This window comes from Homo sapiens, chromosome 16 (assembly GCF_000001405.40).
Source record: "Homo sapiens chromosome 16, GRCh38.p14 Primary Assembly".
NCBI classification, from domain to species: Eukaryota; Metazoa; Chordata; class Mammalia; order Primates; family Hominidae; genus Homo; species Homo sapiens.
Window position 1 is genome coordinate 2108122 of NC_000016.10, and position 15539 is coordinate 2123660.

General features: G+C 65.0%; 1 protein-coding gene across 12 annotated transcripts in view; it reads right to left on the bottom strand.

Moving 5' to 3' along the window:
• Positions 1-15539, bottom strand: part of PKD1 (polycystin 1, transient receptor potential channel interacting) — a 47191-nt gene that overhangs the window by 19414 nt on the left and 12238 nt on the right. For 2 of the 12 annotated variants that reach the window (XM_047434208.1, XM_047434211.1), the window contains exons 2-17: positions 11186-11257; positions 10993-11064; positions 10555-10724; positions 9670-10341; positions 9368-9551; positions 8712-8932; positions 8408-8523; positions 7871-7997; positions 7257-7504; positions 6914-7024; positions 6049-6804; positions 5040-5171; positions 4921-4944; positions 4667-4842; positions 4219-4352; positions 131-3750 (exon numbers count right to left, since the gene is read on the bottom strand). In XM_047434208.1, coding sequence (XP_047290164.1) covers positions 131-3750; positions 4219-4352; positions 4667-4842; positions 4921-4944; positions 5040-5171; positions 6049-6804; positions 6914-7024; positions 7257-7504; positions 7871-7997; positions 8408-8523; positions 8712-8932; positions 9368-9551; positions 9670-10341; positions 10555-10724; positions 10993-11064; positions 11186-11257 — 6835 coding nt within the window. Of the gene's footprint in view, positions 1-130; positions 3751-4218; positions 4353-4666; positions 4843-4919; positions 4945-5035; positions 5172-6048; positions 6805-6913; positions 7030-7256; positions 7505-7870; positions 7998-8407; positions 8524-8711; positions 8933-9367; positions 9552-9669; positions 10342-10554; positions 10725-10992; positions 11065-11185; positions 11258-14078; positions 15399-15539 lie in introns of those variants that run through there. The other 10 variants (XM_011522529.3, XM_011522528.4, NM_000296.4 and 7 more) reach the window with 8 other exon arrangements.

A 15539-nucleotide genomic window follows, 5' to 3' on the forward strand; every position in this document is an offset into this window, starting at 1 on the left:
CCTCCCCATGCTGGGACGGGGCCCACCAGGCACTGAGGACGGGCCAGCCCTGGTGGCAAGCTGGGTGTTCTCTGGGCTCATGGGTGTGGACGGGTGAGGGGCATGGAGGACGGCCCTGCCACGCACTGACCTGTGTCGAAGCCACACAGGCCCAGTGGAAACTGAGCGGCGTCTGGTCGCCGTCCTCCAGGTTGGGGTCGTAGGACTCGCTCCCATCCAGCACCAGGTCCCGTGTGTCTGACCACACGCGGTATGAGCCACCCTCAATGATGGGCACCAGGCGCTCGGGGGCCACCGTCACATTGGCCTGGATGCTCTGTGTCAGTGGCGTGTCCCCAAATGACACGACAAACACAAAGCAGTAGTGCCCCACAGGCAGCGCCAGCCGCGGCAGCACCAGCCGAGGCCGGCTCACGTCCACGCCGGGCAGGGCCACACGCGCTGGGCGCCCCGGCCGCTGGCAGCTGGCGGTGCGATACACCTCCCAGCGGTACTCAGTCTGGTAGGTGACGCAGTCGCGCAGGTCAACGTGGGCCTCCAAGTAGTTGCGCTGTGATCGCCGCATCAGCACCTGCAGGGGCAGGACCACGTCCACCTCCGGCTCCCGGCAGGCCAGCACCTGGACGGTCACCGTGGCCTGCGCCACGAAGAAGCTCACCAGGTTGGAGGCGTTCACCTGCACGCGGTAGTCCCCAGGCCTCAGGTAGGAGTGCTCGGCCCTGGGCTCATCTGTGTCCTGCCCTGGCGACCCATCCCCAAAGTCCCAGTGGTAGGCCACACGCCGGGGGCTGGGGCTGGTGGCGGCCTCAAACTGCGCCGAGCGGTTGGTGAAGCAGGGGCCGCTCTGCAGGGCCACATACTGGACGGCGTCCTGAACCTCCAGCACCAGCGTGCGGTTCTCACTGCCCAGGGCGTTGAAGGCGCGCACCTGGATCTCCAACAGCCCCGCGGCCACGGGCGTGTAGGTGACGTCGCGGCCCGACAGGATGACCAGCGAGTCGCCCTGGACCTTCTGCAGCGAGAAGTACCAGGCGTAGGCGACCCGAGAGCCGCGCTGCACGCGGGCTGTGAAGTTCCTCTCAGTGCCCGTGGCGATGCCAGGCTCGCAGCAGTTGGGCACCTGCAGCCCACTCACGGCCTCCAGCACCACGATGCGCACCTGCGCCTGGGCCCAGCTCACGTGGTTTTTGCCCCGCACGCTCACCACGTGGTCTCCGACGCGGGGGAAGCTGTGGGAGAAACGGGGCCCGGGGAGCACCTCGGGGTTGGCCCCGCCGACCTGCAGGCGGAAGGTGACAGCTGAGCCGGCAGCCAGCAGGATCTGAAAATGGACCAGCTGCCCGGGCGCCACCACCTTGCTGCTGGCCCACAGCACCAGGCCCACGATGGGCTCCTCCGCCGTGAGGTTGTACGTGGCTGAGACCCAGCTGACTGCGTTGGAGGCATTGAGCCGGATGGAGAAGGTGCCAGCATCCGGGAAGACCATGGTGACATGAGGGCCACGCTTGCTGCTGCCGCCGGGCACAGCCCAGCACCAGCTCACATTGGTGCCCGTGGCCAGCTGCCCCCAAAAGGGCACAGAGGACCCGGCCGCCACGAAGCTGCCTCCGGGCTCGCTGGCCCTGATGCTGAGGCCACTCACAGGCACCTGCACATCCACTTCCACGGTGGCGTTGGCTGAGCCCAGCGGGTTCCCTGCCGTCATGGTGACCAAGTGCAGGCCGGGTGTGGGGAAGCTATGGGTGGTAAATGGCTCGGAGGTCTCCCAGCTCAGCCCCTCCTCCAAGGACCAAGTGTATACGACACCACTGCCACCAGCCAGCTCGGCACTGAGGGTGACGCTTGTGTTGACGGCAGCTGGGTTCGGGGAGGCGGCCACCATCAGCCACCCCACAGGCTCCACGAAGTCCATGGTGCAGTCGGCCCAGGCGCTGCCCAGCATGTTGGTGGCCCGCAGCTGCACATGGTAGGTGCCGGCCTCGAGCACGGTGAGCGAGAAGCCTTTGCCGCTGCCGGCCAGGGCCGGGCCCCTGTCCCTCCAGGCAGTCCAGCTGTAGGAGACGTTGGTGCCATCCCTAACCACGGCCTGCAGCTGTACCGTGTGGTTGGTGGGGAAGTAGCGGCCACCGCCCACCACCTGCAGCCCCTCTATGAGCTGCAGGACATAGACGAAGATGCTGTCCTGGGCGGAGCCCACCTCGTTCTCAGCCGTGACGATGATATTGAAGGTGCCCACGGAGCGGAAGGTGTAAGAGATGGTAGGACCCCCAGGGATGGGCGTGCAGCGGTCACAGAGCACCCAGGAATAGCGCACATCACTGCCGGCCTCCAGCGACGTGCTGAAGCTCACGCTCCCATTCAGGGGCACCACCGTGCGGCTTGCATTGACGACGAGCCCCCGCACGCGCCGCTTCACCGTCACATTGAGCCAGGCCTCGCTGCGGCTCACCTCATTCCAGCCGGCCACCCTAACGGTGAAGTCACCTGTGCTGTTGTAAGCGTGGGTGACCTCCGGACCCTCGAGCCACCCACCGTCCCCCAGATCCCACAGGTAGCTGGCGGGGCGCCCACGGCCCACAGCAGAGAACAGGTACGGCTGCTGCAGCTCCAGCCCAAGGGAGCCATTGACCTTGATGCTGGTGACCAGCACGGGCTCCTGCACCTCCACCAGGGCTGAGTCATTGGCAGCAGAGATGTTGTTGGACGCGGTGACTGTCACAAGATAGGAGCCTGGGTCTCGGTAGATGAACGTCACCTCAGGGCCCCTGGCACGGGTGGGGGCGGCTTCCTCGGTGCCAAAGTCCCAGGTGTAGCGGTAGGGGAACGGGGGCCAGGCACATGCCACCAGCCAGGCCTCGTCCCCGAGCTGCACAAACTGCCTCTCTGGCTGCAGGGTGACGTTGCCCACCTCTGGCTCCACGCAGATGCTGGTGAAGTAATGCGCCCTGTTCACGCGGCTGGACAGCACCAGCGCCAGGGGGAACGTGCCGCTCCGCGTGAAGTTGTGTGTCACCGTCGGGCACCCCCGCACGGTCGTGTTGGAGGAGCCATCCCCGAAGGTCCAGTCGAAGAGGTAGTGGGCCGGGTTCCCGGTGACGTAGGCCGTGAGCCGCGCGTCAGGCTGCGTGGGGATGCAGGCGGCGGGTTCAACGCGCAGCACCTCCAGGACGAAGACCAGCACGTGCAGGCTCCGGGCCAGGTGGCCGGCGGGGCTGGCCGCACCCACGGTCACTGTGCAGTTCTGTGCCCGCAGGTACACATGCTCCACTGTTGCCTCCGGGCCCGACAGCACGGTGCCGTCCCCCATGTCGAAGGTCCACGTGATGTTGTCGCCCGTCTGCACCGCGGCGCTGACCACCACGGGGGCGCCCTGCTCCACGGCCAGGCTCATGTCCACGCTGAGTCCGCGGAGCTCCTCAAAGACGCGCACATCCGCCTGGGCCGCCGCACCGCTCACCGTGTTGTTGACCTCCAGGCGCACGTGGTAGGTGCCCCTCGAGGCATAGGTGTGGTTGGCAGCCGGCTGGCTCTGGGTCAGGACAGGGGAGCCGTCCCCGAAGTCCCACGTGTAAAGAACACCCCCAGGCGAGGGCAGCGGGTGCGGGTAGAAGGTGACGGGCCGGCCGGCCACCAGGACGCCGTCACTCACACCCACAGCCACGGAGGGCAGGGAGGCGCGCACGCTCACAGGCACCTGCTGCGTCAGGTTCTCGAAGGCATTAGATGCCAGCACGGTCAGGAGGTACTCACCTGTGGGGACAGGCCCGAGTGGGGCAGCCGCGGCACCCCCACCTGCTCCCCACCCGCTCGGCAGAAGCCCCCCGCCTGAGGAGCCCGGGGTGAACGGCTGCACCTGCGGCCCAGCCTTAAGGGTCCCAGGCTCCCAAGCCACGTGCGGGACGGAGCACAGGTGTAGCAGCACTGAGGGCTGCCTGGCGAGGACGGCACCGCCTCCAAGTGCAGCTGCACTCGGGGCAGCAGAGCAGCAAGAGCCAGGCCCGGGGAGGGCGGGGGGCGCAGTTCAGGGGCCCAGCTTCCCTGTCCACTCCCCCCACGCCTGGCCCCTCCCTCACCCCAGTAGGGGCCTAAGCCATCAGCCCAGGTGAGGTCACAGTGAGGGCTGTTGGGGAGGAAGGGGGGCAGCTTGACTGGGGAGCTGGGGGGACCCCGTGCTCAGAGCCTGAAAGGCAGTGGCCCCCTCACCCCCTCATCCCTCACCTGGGGCAGCGTAGGTGTGCATGACATTGTGCTCCACCAGCACCTGGGCCACCGAGGGGTCTGGAACCGGGAAGGACTCGTTGTACGGAGGCTGGAACTGGTGGAGGGCCTGCTCCCCATCCCCAAAGGTCCACCTGCCGGGGCGGTGGGACGCAGTGAGTGAACCGGGACAGGGGTGGGCGGTGGCGGGGCAGGGGGTGCTTGGGACCCAGCCGAGGCTCCACTCTGCAGTCACGCCCCGGGCCTCCATTCAGGGCCCACCCGGCTGTGCTGAGGCCTCTCCCGGCTCCCGTGCAGCCTCAGGGCTCCTGTGCACCCAGTTACCTCCCAACAGACAGGGAAACCGAGGCTCAGAAAAGCAACCCCGTGATGTGGGGGTCCCTCGGCTGAGGCTGGGGCTGGGACAAGAGCCTGGTGCCCACCCCAAACCGGCCCCCGAGTCACTCACAGGAAGGCCACCTCCACGGCCGAGTCCACCAGCACGCCCGCCGTCAGTGCTAGCGTGGCATTGGGGGACAGCACGGCCGGCACTGTGGAGACCTGCAGACCCTGCATCCTGTTCATCCGCTCCACGGTTACGTTGTAGTTCACGGTGACGTTGCTCACGTGGTTGGAGGCCGTCAGCTGCAGGGACAGGCGTCAGTGAGCCCAGGTGGCAGGTGAGAGGCCTGGCCCTGATTGGCGTCCCTCCCTCCACTCACCCACAGCCATGGCAGCGTCCTCGGGCAGCATGAAGCAGAGCAGAAGGCAGAGGTGAAGGTGGAGCCCGCCCCCGCCCTGCCCCGCCCCATCCCCTCCCCTCCCCACCCCCGCCCACCTACTGAGAGCTTGAAGACCGCCGCGCTCTGATAAATGACATTGAAGACCACGTTCTGGAAGGTCAGGGACTGCTTGTCGTTGATGGTCCACCGGAAGACCATGTCCGAGCCGGCCTCCACCACGGGGCTGTACCTCTGCGGGGGGAATGGTGTCAGCCTGGGCTCTGTGGAGGACTCTGCCCTTAGCCTGTCGCCTCCTGGACACACCTCCCGTCGGGCTGGAGAGTCCCACGCGGGGCACAGAGGAGAGGAGGTGCCCGGGGCTCTGCATGCCATGGGAGCCAAGCCCGGGCTGGGACACTCACTGTCCGGCTCTCCAGCCAGCCATGTAGTACTACTAATGCCTCAACCTCTCTGTGCCTCAGTTTCCCCATCTGTAAAGCAAACCTAGTACCAGCTACAAAGAGTCCACCTCTCTCTGAGTCTTCTCAGACCCTCCCGGCGCTCTTGCCCCAGCTCCTCACCCAGAGAGCTCGGAGCAGTGAGGGGAGGCACCTACACTGGCTTACAGAACCCAGGACAGGCTGCACAGGTCACGCCATTTCTGATGGCCCCTCCCAAGGCCCCTGGTGAAGAGGCAGGTACCCGCAAGATGGAGACAGCCCTGTCCCCCATGTACCCAGCATGGTGGCACCGCGGGCAGCCCGCAGTTTCCCATCAGGGGTTCAGACTCCACCTCAAAAGCCACTCGCTTTAGCCAGGCGAGAACACAGCAGAGGGCGTGAGAGACTCACGGGGGCTCGTGTGAGGTCAGGGAGCAGAGTTTTAAATTCATTTTGTGAAATGAGACAGTGGAATGAGTTAGCGGAGCCACTGTCAGAGCCGTGACTTTCCAGGAATTTAAAGCCCACCAGGTAGCCCGAGGAGCCAGCCAGCAGGACCTGCCCGGGGCCGACGTCCCCAGTAACTGGGCTGCTGCCCTCACTGGGAAGCCAGGCCTCACGCCCTGTGTGAGCACCCTGTCTGCAGGCACCTGCCTGGGGGCTGGTGGTGGAGCCTCGGCCATACTCACCACTAGGACTCCCTGCAGTACACGGGCCTCGGGGCTGGGCGTGGCGCGGAGGCCACAGATGGGCTCCTCCGCCGTCACCCGCAGGCTGAGGTTGGCCCGGCTGGCGCTGTTTTCCACCACCACGTCCACCACGTGCTCCCCCTCACTGAGCCACGGCAGTGCTACCACTGAGAACAGGGTATCGTTGGTCTCCCAGGGGCAGCCGGGCACGAAGGTGGCCACCAGGGCAGGGCAGACATTCTCAAAGCGGGCGCTGACACTGCCCCCAGGCCAGCGAGCCGTGGCCGTGGCGTTGGCACCAGAGTCCACCTGGAGCACCAAGGCTGAGCCGTTGGTGGGCACGTAGAGGCGGCCGTCGCGGGGGGCAGGGTAGATGACCCGCAGCCCAGCCACTGGGGAGACCACGTCAAAGCTGCAGGAGAGGTTGTGCCTGGACACGCCATTGCCCACCTCTGCCCGGACCTCATAGCGCCCAGGCAGCCGCAGTCCAGGGTTGGGCCTCAAGCCCAGCAGCACGGTGAGCTGTTCCGTGGCTGCAAGCAGCCGCAGGGCACAGGCAGGGCAGGCCCAAGTGCCCTCCAGCTGGGCTGGCAAGTGGGGCAGCCATGACGAGGCGTTGGCGGAGAGGTACGGGGCCCGGGGACCAGGGTGGCCGGGAGCCGGCGAGCAGTGCAGGAGGGCGCCAGGGCCAGCGTCGTGCTGCAAGCCAACGAGGTCACCAGGGAGCATGAGGACATCCTGGCCGTGGAGGGTGACCTGTGGAGAGGGAGGCAGGGCTGCATCACGTCCTCACGGTCATGGCCCGTGGACCCCCGCACGACGGATGAGGGTGGACACGCAGGGCTCCCCGCTTCGTCAGCCACACCTCAAGGAGCCTCCCCACAGTGCTCGTGACAAGGACAGGCAGGACAGTTGCAGACCGGGGGACACACGGGGAGAGGACACAGGCCAAGACCTGGCAGACAGGAAGGAGCAGCTGTGCTGGGAGAGAGGAAGAGGAGGCACAGCTCGTGCCAAGGGCCCAGGCGAGAGCTTCTCCCACTGGGAGAGGGCCGAGGGCACTGCAGAGGTCGGAGGTCAGAGGTGGCAAGGACGTGGGAGGGGCCTGCAGGCTGGGTGTGTCTGGTGCACAGACCCAGACCCTGGGCAGCAGACAGGAAGGTGGCCTGAGGAGATGCAGGGAACAGACCCAGGTCAGGGCCACACACCGAGTACTGCGCGGGGGGCCCCGCGGGAACGGAGAAGAGGAACTCTCTCCATAGCGCATAGGGGGCCCCGGGTAGCCCTGGCCCTGACGTGCAGCCATTGGCGCAGGCCTGGGGGTGGCAGGAGGCGTCCAGCGGCAAGCAGATGTTGGCTCCAGGGCACCAGCGTCCCCCTGGCATGCACGCGGGGGCCAGCTGGGTCCTGTTGTCCGGGGACCTGCTCTCAGGCTCGCTGCCGTTCTCCGGGGTCCCTGTGAGGAGGGGAGGGTGTTGGGGCCCTGATTTGCCCACAGGCCACCGTCAGAGATGCCCAACTGCCTGCACCAGCAATCCTGGCCTTGCTGTGAGGACAGGTCTCCCCACCTGGGCAGCACTCCCAGCCCAGTGCTGCGTCCGTCTCCGGCCAGCCGACTGACCCAGGCCGGCCCCCAGGCAGGCCCCACCCAATCCACCCCCAGGACACCTGGAATGAGCTGGTGTCTCTGGAACCCCTGCTCTGTCCACCTAAGACTGGGAACCACTCTGGTGGCCACAGGACCAGCAGACGTGAAAGCTCAGAGAGGCCACCCCGAGTCCTGCGGCGCCCACCACCCACCACCCACCACCCAGAGTCCCACCTGCTGTGCTGAGGAGCCGGTACACCTGCAGCCGCAGCTGGGCGGGCCGCCGGAGCTCCTGGGTCCCAAATTCGGCCGTGGTGAGGAAGGCTTCACGGCTCAGACGCAGGCCCGGGAATACCATGACCTGGTGGGCAGGGGGCCGCCTCAGCTCCACAGACCCCATCCCAGCCTGAAGCCCAGACTCCCCCTACCCGAACTTCCCAGGAAGAGGGGAGGGAAGGAGAGCGAGCCATCAGACCCCCACAGGCCTGGCTCCTGTCGCTCGAGAGGAAGACTCCGGTGGAAACTGTCCATGGGGGGCAGGACCCCTGACCTGCCTTTCAGGAATAACTCACACACGCTCAGAGAAAAGGCCTGGAGGTAATGTGAGTAAACGCTTTCCTCTCTGCACTCTGGATTTTCCCAACCATCTTCACTGGGCACAAGCAACATTAAGGCCCCCAAGTTTTTTGGCGAGACCCACAGTGGGCAGGGCAGGCAAGGCCTCCAGGGGCAGGCAGGAGGGCAGGTTGTAGAACGTGGGGGGCCGACTACCTCCACGGGCTCGTGCGGGGCTGAGAGGCCGTCCTGCTGTGCCAGAGGCGTCAGGGGTCCCTGCAGGTCCCCACTGGGCGCTCCCACGAGGAGGTTCTCGGCATCCTGCACTGGGCCTGGGGTGGCGAGTGCACAGTGAGGCGCCGGGCCAGGGCCCAGGACACCAGGACGAACAGACTGGGGACCGAGCCGCCCGAAAACCCCCCCACCAGCCCCTCCTCCTCAGCCCAGGCTCCACCGCGGGCGCTCGGCAGGCCCCTAACCACAGCCAGCGTCTCAGGCCCCTGCCTGGCCCCCCGCACACCTCCGGGCTGCAGCTCGCAGACGTAGCTGTGCGGCGCTGAGCACAGGTCGGTGTTACACCACCCGGTGGGCCCGAGCCGGACGCAGTGCTCGGCTGTGGCTGGGTGTGGCTCCCCGGGCAGCCAGTTCTGGCAGCTCTCCAGGCTGAAGGCCTCGCCCTGCGGCGCTGGGCCCACCTCCACCCCCTGCACAGTCGAGAAGCCGATCCACACGTCTAGGCTCCTGGGGGCGGGTGTGGGATGGCAGGGGGCTCAGGGCACTCCTCCATCCTCCCACCCTCACAGCAGCCCGCTGGGAGCCCCATCACTGTCCCCCTTTCCAGATGGGGAAACTGAGGCTCAGAGCCCGGAGACCAGGGCCCACCAGCCCAGGCTCACAGCAGCACCCACCCACGGGGCCTGTGGGTACCGGCAGGGATCCCCGTGCAGGCCACCTCCCGTATGGCGTGCCCAGGAGTGTCCGGAGGCTGCCCCCAGCTCATGTCCACCTCTGCATCTGCAGAGCTGACAGGAACGGCCCCACCGGCCGGCGCCACCTGCTCACCAGGGCCGGCCCAGCTCCCACCTCCTTCCTCCTGAGACTCCCCAGCCGCAGGCTCTGCCCCAGTGCTTCAGAGATCTCCCAACCTATGGCCCCTCGGGGGGTGGGGGCAGGCACCTGGTGACCCGGGAGACCAGGAAGCGCTGCACGGCGGGACTGTCCACCATTGCCAGGGCGGCCCCGGCCCAGGCCTGACACTGCTCCTGCGCCTGCAGCCAGGCCGCCTTCTCCACCACCAGGCGGTAGCAGTGCCCGTTGCCAGGGAAGATCTCCGTGTCCGAGGGGCAGAGCGGGTGCACCGCTGGAGACCGGTGGGAACGAGGGTGTCAACGGTCAGTGTGGGCCCAAGACGGGGGTACCAGGCTCTGCCCCATCTGGATGGCCCTGGGGAGGAAGGGGAGTGGGCAGCAGACACTCACCTCGGGCCGGCTCCTCGCCCAGGGCCACGATGCTGTAGGCGGCCTCCAGGCCTGAACCACCGCGGTTCTGGATGCTGAGGTCGAGGCTCTCGTCACTCTGCACCGAGGACGGGCACACGAGCTCCAGGGCGGCAGGTGCCGCTTCCACCTGCACGTCTGTCCCCAGCAGGGCTGAGCCGGCCCCCAGGGCCAGCACGGCCGTCACGTGATAGCGCCCAGGCAGCACATAGCGATGCGAGGCAGCCGGCCCAGCGGCATCCACCTCGGCGGAGCCGTCTCCGAAGTCCCAGCGTGTGGCAGTGACAGGGAGCGGGGCAGCGATGTGGAAGGCTGCTAGCTGGCCAGAGGCCAGAGGTCCGTGGGGCCCCACCAGGGTGGCCCCTGGGGAGGCAGGGAAGACGTGCTGGAGGAGGGTGGGGCCCCTACAGGTGGGGGCAGGAGGTGGCGGGGGGCCGGAGCAGAGGGACAGGCAGGCAAAGGAGGCACTGGAGGGCTGGGCCGCCCCACACAGGCACCAGCCCTGCTCCGAGAGGGCTGCGAGGCCCTGGCCGGTGGAGAAGCAGAAGGCGCTGCAGGCCTCTGGCTGAAGCAGGCCTTCGTGGGCAGCTGAAAAGGACACTGCTGCCACGGTGCCTGAGCTGTTGTCAGGGAGGCAGGCGACATACTCCTCACCTAGAAGAGGCAGCCACTGGACCCCGGGTTCTGCTCCTCCTGGCTCCACCCCACGCCCCCACATCCGCCCGCCGCACTCACAGGCTCCCATGCTGTTCCCTTGGCCCGGAGGCCCCCCCCAGAGAGGCCTTCCTGAGCCCTGCCCAGTGTCTGCAGGGCCCAGGTCCCACCTGGCTGGGAAGGACAGAGCTGGCCCCACCCACCGGCACTCACCACAGCCACTGTCCAGCAAGGGGATGCCAAGCAGAGGCTGGCCAGCCAGGGAGCCAGGCCCAGCACACGTGGCTGCCTCGGGCTGCACCACCCGCACCTGCTGCTCCTCCGCCCATCGCGGCAGCCACGCCAGGCCACAGTCACACTCAAACGGGTTCCCACTCAGGTTTCTGCAGGGCAGGGGCAGGTGTTGGGGACCAGGTCTGGTGGGAAGGGTCTATGCCAGCCCCCCACTGGCAACCAGGCCCTGGAGCCACCCTGACAGCACCGCCTCCCCTGCCCCAACCAAGCCGGCACTGGGGGGCTCCAAGCAGGCAGTGAACTGCCCCCAGGATCTGGTCTCAAGCCTGGAAGGGGACACGGACCAACTGGGAGGGCAGAAGGGATATTGGGGGCCTGGGGTCCAGCCAGGACCCCACCCAAAGAACCACAACTTACATTTCACTTAAATTAAATAAATTAGCAAATATTCCTTCTTCTAACGTAGAAATCTTGTTGTTGCTTATATCCCTGGAAGAGACGGGGGATTCGGCAAAGCTGATGGAAGCCCCCACAGCTGAGCAGCAAGAGGCGGTGCCGCCAGCCCACCCGGAGTGAGCCCCGCATGCTGGCACGACTGGGGGACACTCACAGCTCTGCCAGCGCCGAGAGGTTCGCCAGGAGCCCAACGTCCAGCGCCCGGAGCAGGTTGTGGGAGACGTCTCTGAGGAGTGAGTGGCCGTGGGTCAGGGCCAGAGCCCCTAGTAGGCCAGAGGCCATCCCTGGGCCCATCCCACACATTGCCAGCATCCCCAAGCTATGGCCTCCCACCCTTGAGCTCCCCACTCCCAGAGGTCAGGAGGGGACTTTCTGATGGAAGACCCAAATGAACACTCATCTGGGGAAACCAAGCCAGGAGAGGCCTGGGGGCCTCAGCCCTCTGCACCCATCTCAGCCCTATGCCGAGTGCCACATGGACCTGTCCACCCAGGGCCAGGAAGGGCACGGACCCCCAACCCATCCCACGCAGGGCCAAGGCCCCCCATCCCCTGTCCACAGTCCCCCACAGAGCCAAGGTCTCCCAACCCTGTCCACAGCCCCCACACAGACTCGAGGGGCCCCCATCTCCTGTTCTGAACCCAACAGGGTGGTCCCACTGTGGGACCACAACCAGGTATGACTGTGTGAGAAGCAGGCTCACTACCAGGCTACCAGGGAGCACAGGGGAGCAGGCGCCACCTCGAGGCATAAACCCAGAGAAACAAGACCTCCAAGACGGCCAGGCACTGGGGCACACGCCGGTAACACAGCACCGTGGGAGCTGAGACGGAAGGATCGCCTGGGCCCAGGATTTTGAAACCACCCTGGGCAACACAGTGAGACCCCGTATCTACAAAAAATACACATTAGCCAGGCATGGCGGCATGCGCCTGGGGTCCCAAGTACTCGGGAGGTAGAGGAGAGAAAAATCACTTGAGCCCAGAGAGGTCAAGGCTACAGGGAGCTGAGATCGCATCACTGTACTCCAGCCTGGGTGAAACGGCGAGACTCTACCTCAAAAATAAATAAATACATACATAATTAATAAATAAAACATCAAAGACCAGCCGACCTAACTCCATCTAAAATACACAACTTCTACGCAAAATATAAATAAAATTAGAAAACAAACTACAATCTCAGAAAAGCACTAGCAACTTACACGACATACTAAAGGCCAAAAATACCCTCCTGACACACAGCTAATAAAGAAAACGTCAACTATTCCAGTTAAAAAGAAGAAAAGGAAACTGGGTGTGGTGGCTTATGCCTGTAAACCCAGTGCTTTGGGAAGGCCAGGAGTTTGAGACCAGGATGGACAGCATAGCAAGACCCCATCTCTACAAGGAAAAAAAGAATCAGCCAGGCATGGTAGTGTGTAACTGTAGTTCCAGCTACTCGGGGGGCTGAGGAGGAAGGATCGCTTGAGCCAGGGAAGTCGAGGCTGCAGTGAGCTATGATTGTGCCACTGCAGTCCAGCCTGGGCGACAGAGCAAGACCCGGTCTCGAAAGAAAACAAAGAGAAAGCAAGGAAAGAAAGATGGCCGGGCACGGTGGCTCACTCCTGTAATGCCAGAACTTTGGGAGGCCAAGGTGGGTGGATCATGAGATCAAGAGATCGAGACCATCCTGGCCAACAGGGTGAAACCCTGTCTCTACTAAAAATGCAAAAATTAGCCGGGCATGGCGGCGGGAGCCTGTAGTGCCAGCCACTCAGGAGGCTGAGGCAGGAGAATCACGTGAACCCGGGAGGCGAAGGTTGCAGTGAGCCAAGATCACGCCACTGCAATCCAGCCTGGTGACAGAGCGAGACTCCATCTCAAAAGAAAAAAAAAAGAAAAGAAAAGAAAGAAAGGGAGGAGAGAGAGAAGAAAAGGAGAAGGGGAAAGAGCCGGGTGCAATGGCTCCTGCCTGTAATCCCAGCACTTTGGGAGGCTGAGGCGGGCGCATCACCTGAGGTCAGGAGTTCAAGACCAGACCGACCAACACGGAGACACCCTGTCTCTACCAAAACTACAGAATTAGTCGGGCGTGGTGGCAAGCACCTGTAATTCCAGCTACTCAGGAGGCTTAGGCAGGAGAATCACTTGAACCCGCGAGGCAGAGGTTGCAGTGAGCTGAGATCGCACCCCTGCACTCCAGCACCCCATCCTGCAAGAGTGAAGCTCCATCTCAAAAAATAAAAATAAAAAAAAAAAGGATGGAGGGTGAGAGGGAGGGAGGAAAGAAAGAGAAAACTCCAAAAACAAAAAAAGAAAAACCAGGCAATTAGAAGAAGCACAATTGGTCACAGCCGTAGGAAAAACATCCCATGTCAGTAGTCAGTGAAGAAAAAGCAACAGAAACCACAGGGCGGCAGCATGTCTCTCTTTTCAGAGCTGCCCGAGTTACAAACCAGGTCCTGGAGCTGGTGATGCGGAGGTGAGTAGACAGAGAGCTGGGGCAAACCGAGAACTCCACCTCCCCTCGGCCTCAAGCACCTCGGGGGTCACTCTGCCGCCCACCCTGGGCACCCCTCCTGGTCCCACGCACTCCCAGTAGTGCTCCTGGCACAGGACTATGGCTCCGCAGGTCTGCACACCACCCCCCTGCTCCCCAGGACCCCGAGGCCTCACCTCCTGCCACGGGCCTCTACTTCCCCAGGTGTCACCCTCCCCACGAGTGACCCAGCAGGTGCCTCCGCCTAGACTTGCTCTTCCCAGCAATGACCACCCGGCAGCCAGCCCCAAGCCGGGGCGGCCTCCATCCCTGAACACCCGCCCAGCCCCTGCCAGCCTCCAGCCCTGCTCCTCCCACCGGAGCTCCGCTCCCACAGGAGCCTACCCGGCGCAGGAGAGACGCACACACAGGCTGCCCGGTGGGGCCCGGGGCCAGGGCAAGAGCTTGAGAAGGGAACCAACAAAGAAGGGGACCAGAGGCCACCCCAGCTGAGGGGACAGAGCAGCCGAGGCCTTCTCCGTGCCAGGAAGCAGCACCAGCCACGGACGGTGGAGCCAGGCCCTCACCTGGGCTGGGTGCCCAGACAGATGAGACGCTGGGCACTGGCTCCCGGAGCTTCTCGTTCCATCTGCGGATGGAGGGCACGGTTGGGGGTGCAGTTCCCTTCCCCCAGGGGCTGTGGGACACTCAGAGAGCCTATGCCTGTGCCCTGGGCTCCGGGAGGGGAGAGGATCTGGGGGCCAGGCACACAGGGAACGGCCCCTCCGGCAGGGCCACCACTTCCCCCCTAACTGAACCCTGCTTCTCTGCCGTCCCCTCCTCTACACCAAGGTAGGGACACGGGCTGAGGTGCTCCCCACTGCCCATAAGGATGGGTGGGCCCACAGCCGCGCTGCTAGGCATCCACACCATCCCCGCCGTGGGGTGGGACAGGGTGGTGGCTGGGAGACCAGCAAGAGGCCATTCTCGAGACAGGGTGAGGCAGCTGGACTCACACCCACTGCCCAAGCACCATGCCCGAGGGGGAACACTGTGCCGTGAGGAACTGCAGTTAGACCTGAGGAGGGACTTTCCAGCGGCTGCGGCGGCAGCAGAACCAATGCTTTAGGGAGAAATGAGGCACCGGGACCCGAGGCGCAGGAGCCCTAAGGGGCGAGAGGTGCTGCAGAGGCCACGGTGAACACAGGCAGGCCCCCTGGAAGGGACACAGCTGTGAAACTGCCCCAGGGAGGGGCACAGGCTCTCGCACCTGCCCCCAGGCATGGGGAGCAGCTCCCACCCAGGCCACGGGAGAAAGGAAAGAAGGAAAAGCCTGAAGATGTTTGGCCACACCTCATTTTCTGGAAAATCCATCAAGAGTGGCTGCTGCTGGGAGCTGACAAGCCAGGGCAGGGGTGGGGGCAGGTCAGCCGAGGACCCCAGAGCCCCCCGGCTCCCCGCCCATCCCACTGTGAACCAGGCCTGGGGGTGCCATGGACACTTCTTCCACGCCAGCAGGCAGCCCTGCCTGTCACCGGTTCTGGCCATGCACTCCCTGCGTGCCAGGCTCCAGGCTGGCTCCTTCTCCCGGCCCTCACCCCAGCCCAAGGCCCAGAAATGCAGCAAGGTCTTGGGGACCCCGCTCGGCCGAGCTCCCAGGGCCCAGGGCAGTGGAATGAAGCTGGGGCCCAGACAGGAGCCAGGTGCAGTCCCCCAGCCCCCAGGGTGTGGAAGCGTCTGCCCTGGGTAGGACTCAGGTGCCCCCTGGGTGTGGAAGCATCTGCCCTGGGCAGGACTCAGGTGTGGGCTTCAGGGACAGGGAACAGCACAGGGGTCCCCGTGGAGTCCTCACCTCGCTTGCTCCCGTACTTTTTCACGTCTCCATCTGCTTTTGCCATCGCCGTTCTGGGGGAACGCCAAGGCCTAGCCAGGCAGCCTCGCGCCAGCCCCCCCACCCCGCCCCTCGGGCTTCCTCTGCACCCGCCAGGTGACATCATCGCCGCTGTCTGATGCCCTGCCCCCACGTTCTGGTTCCCTGCAAGGATGGG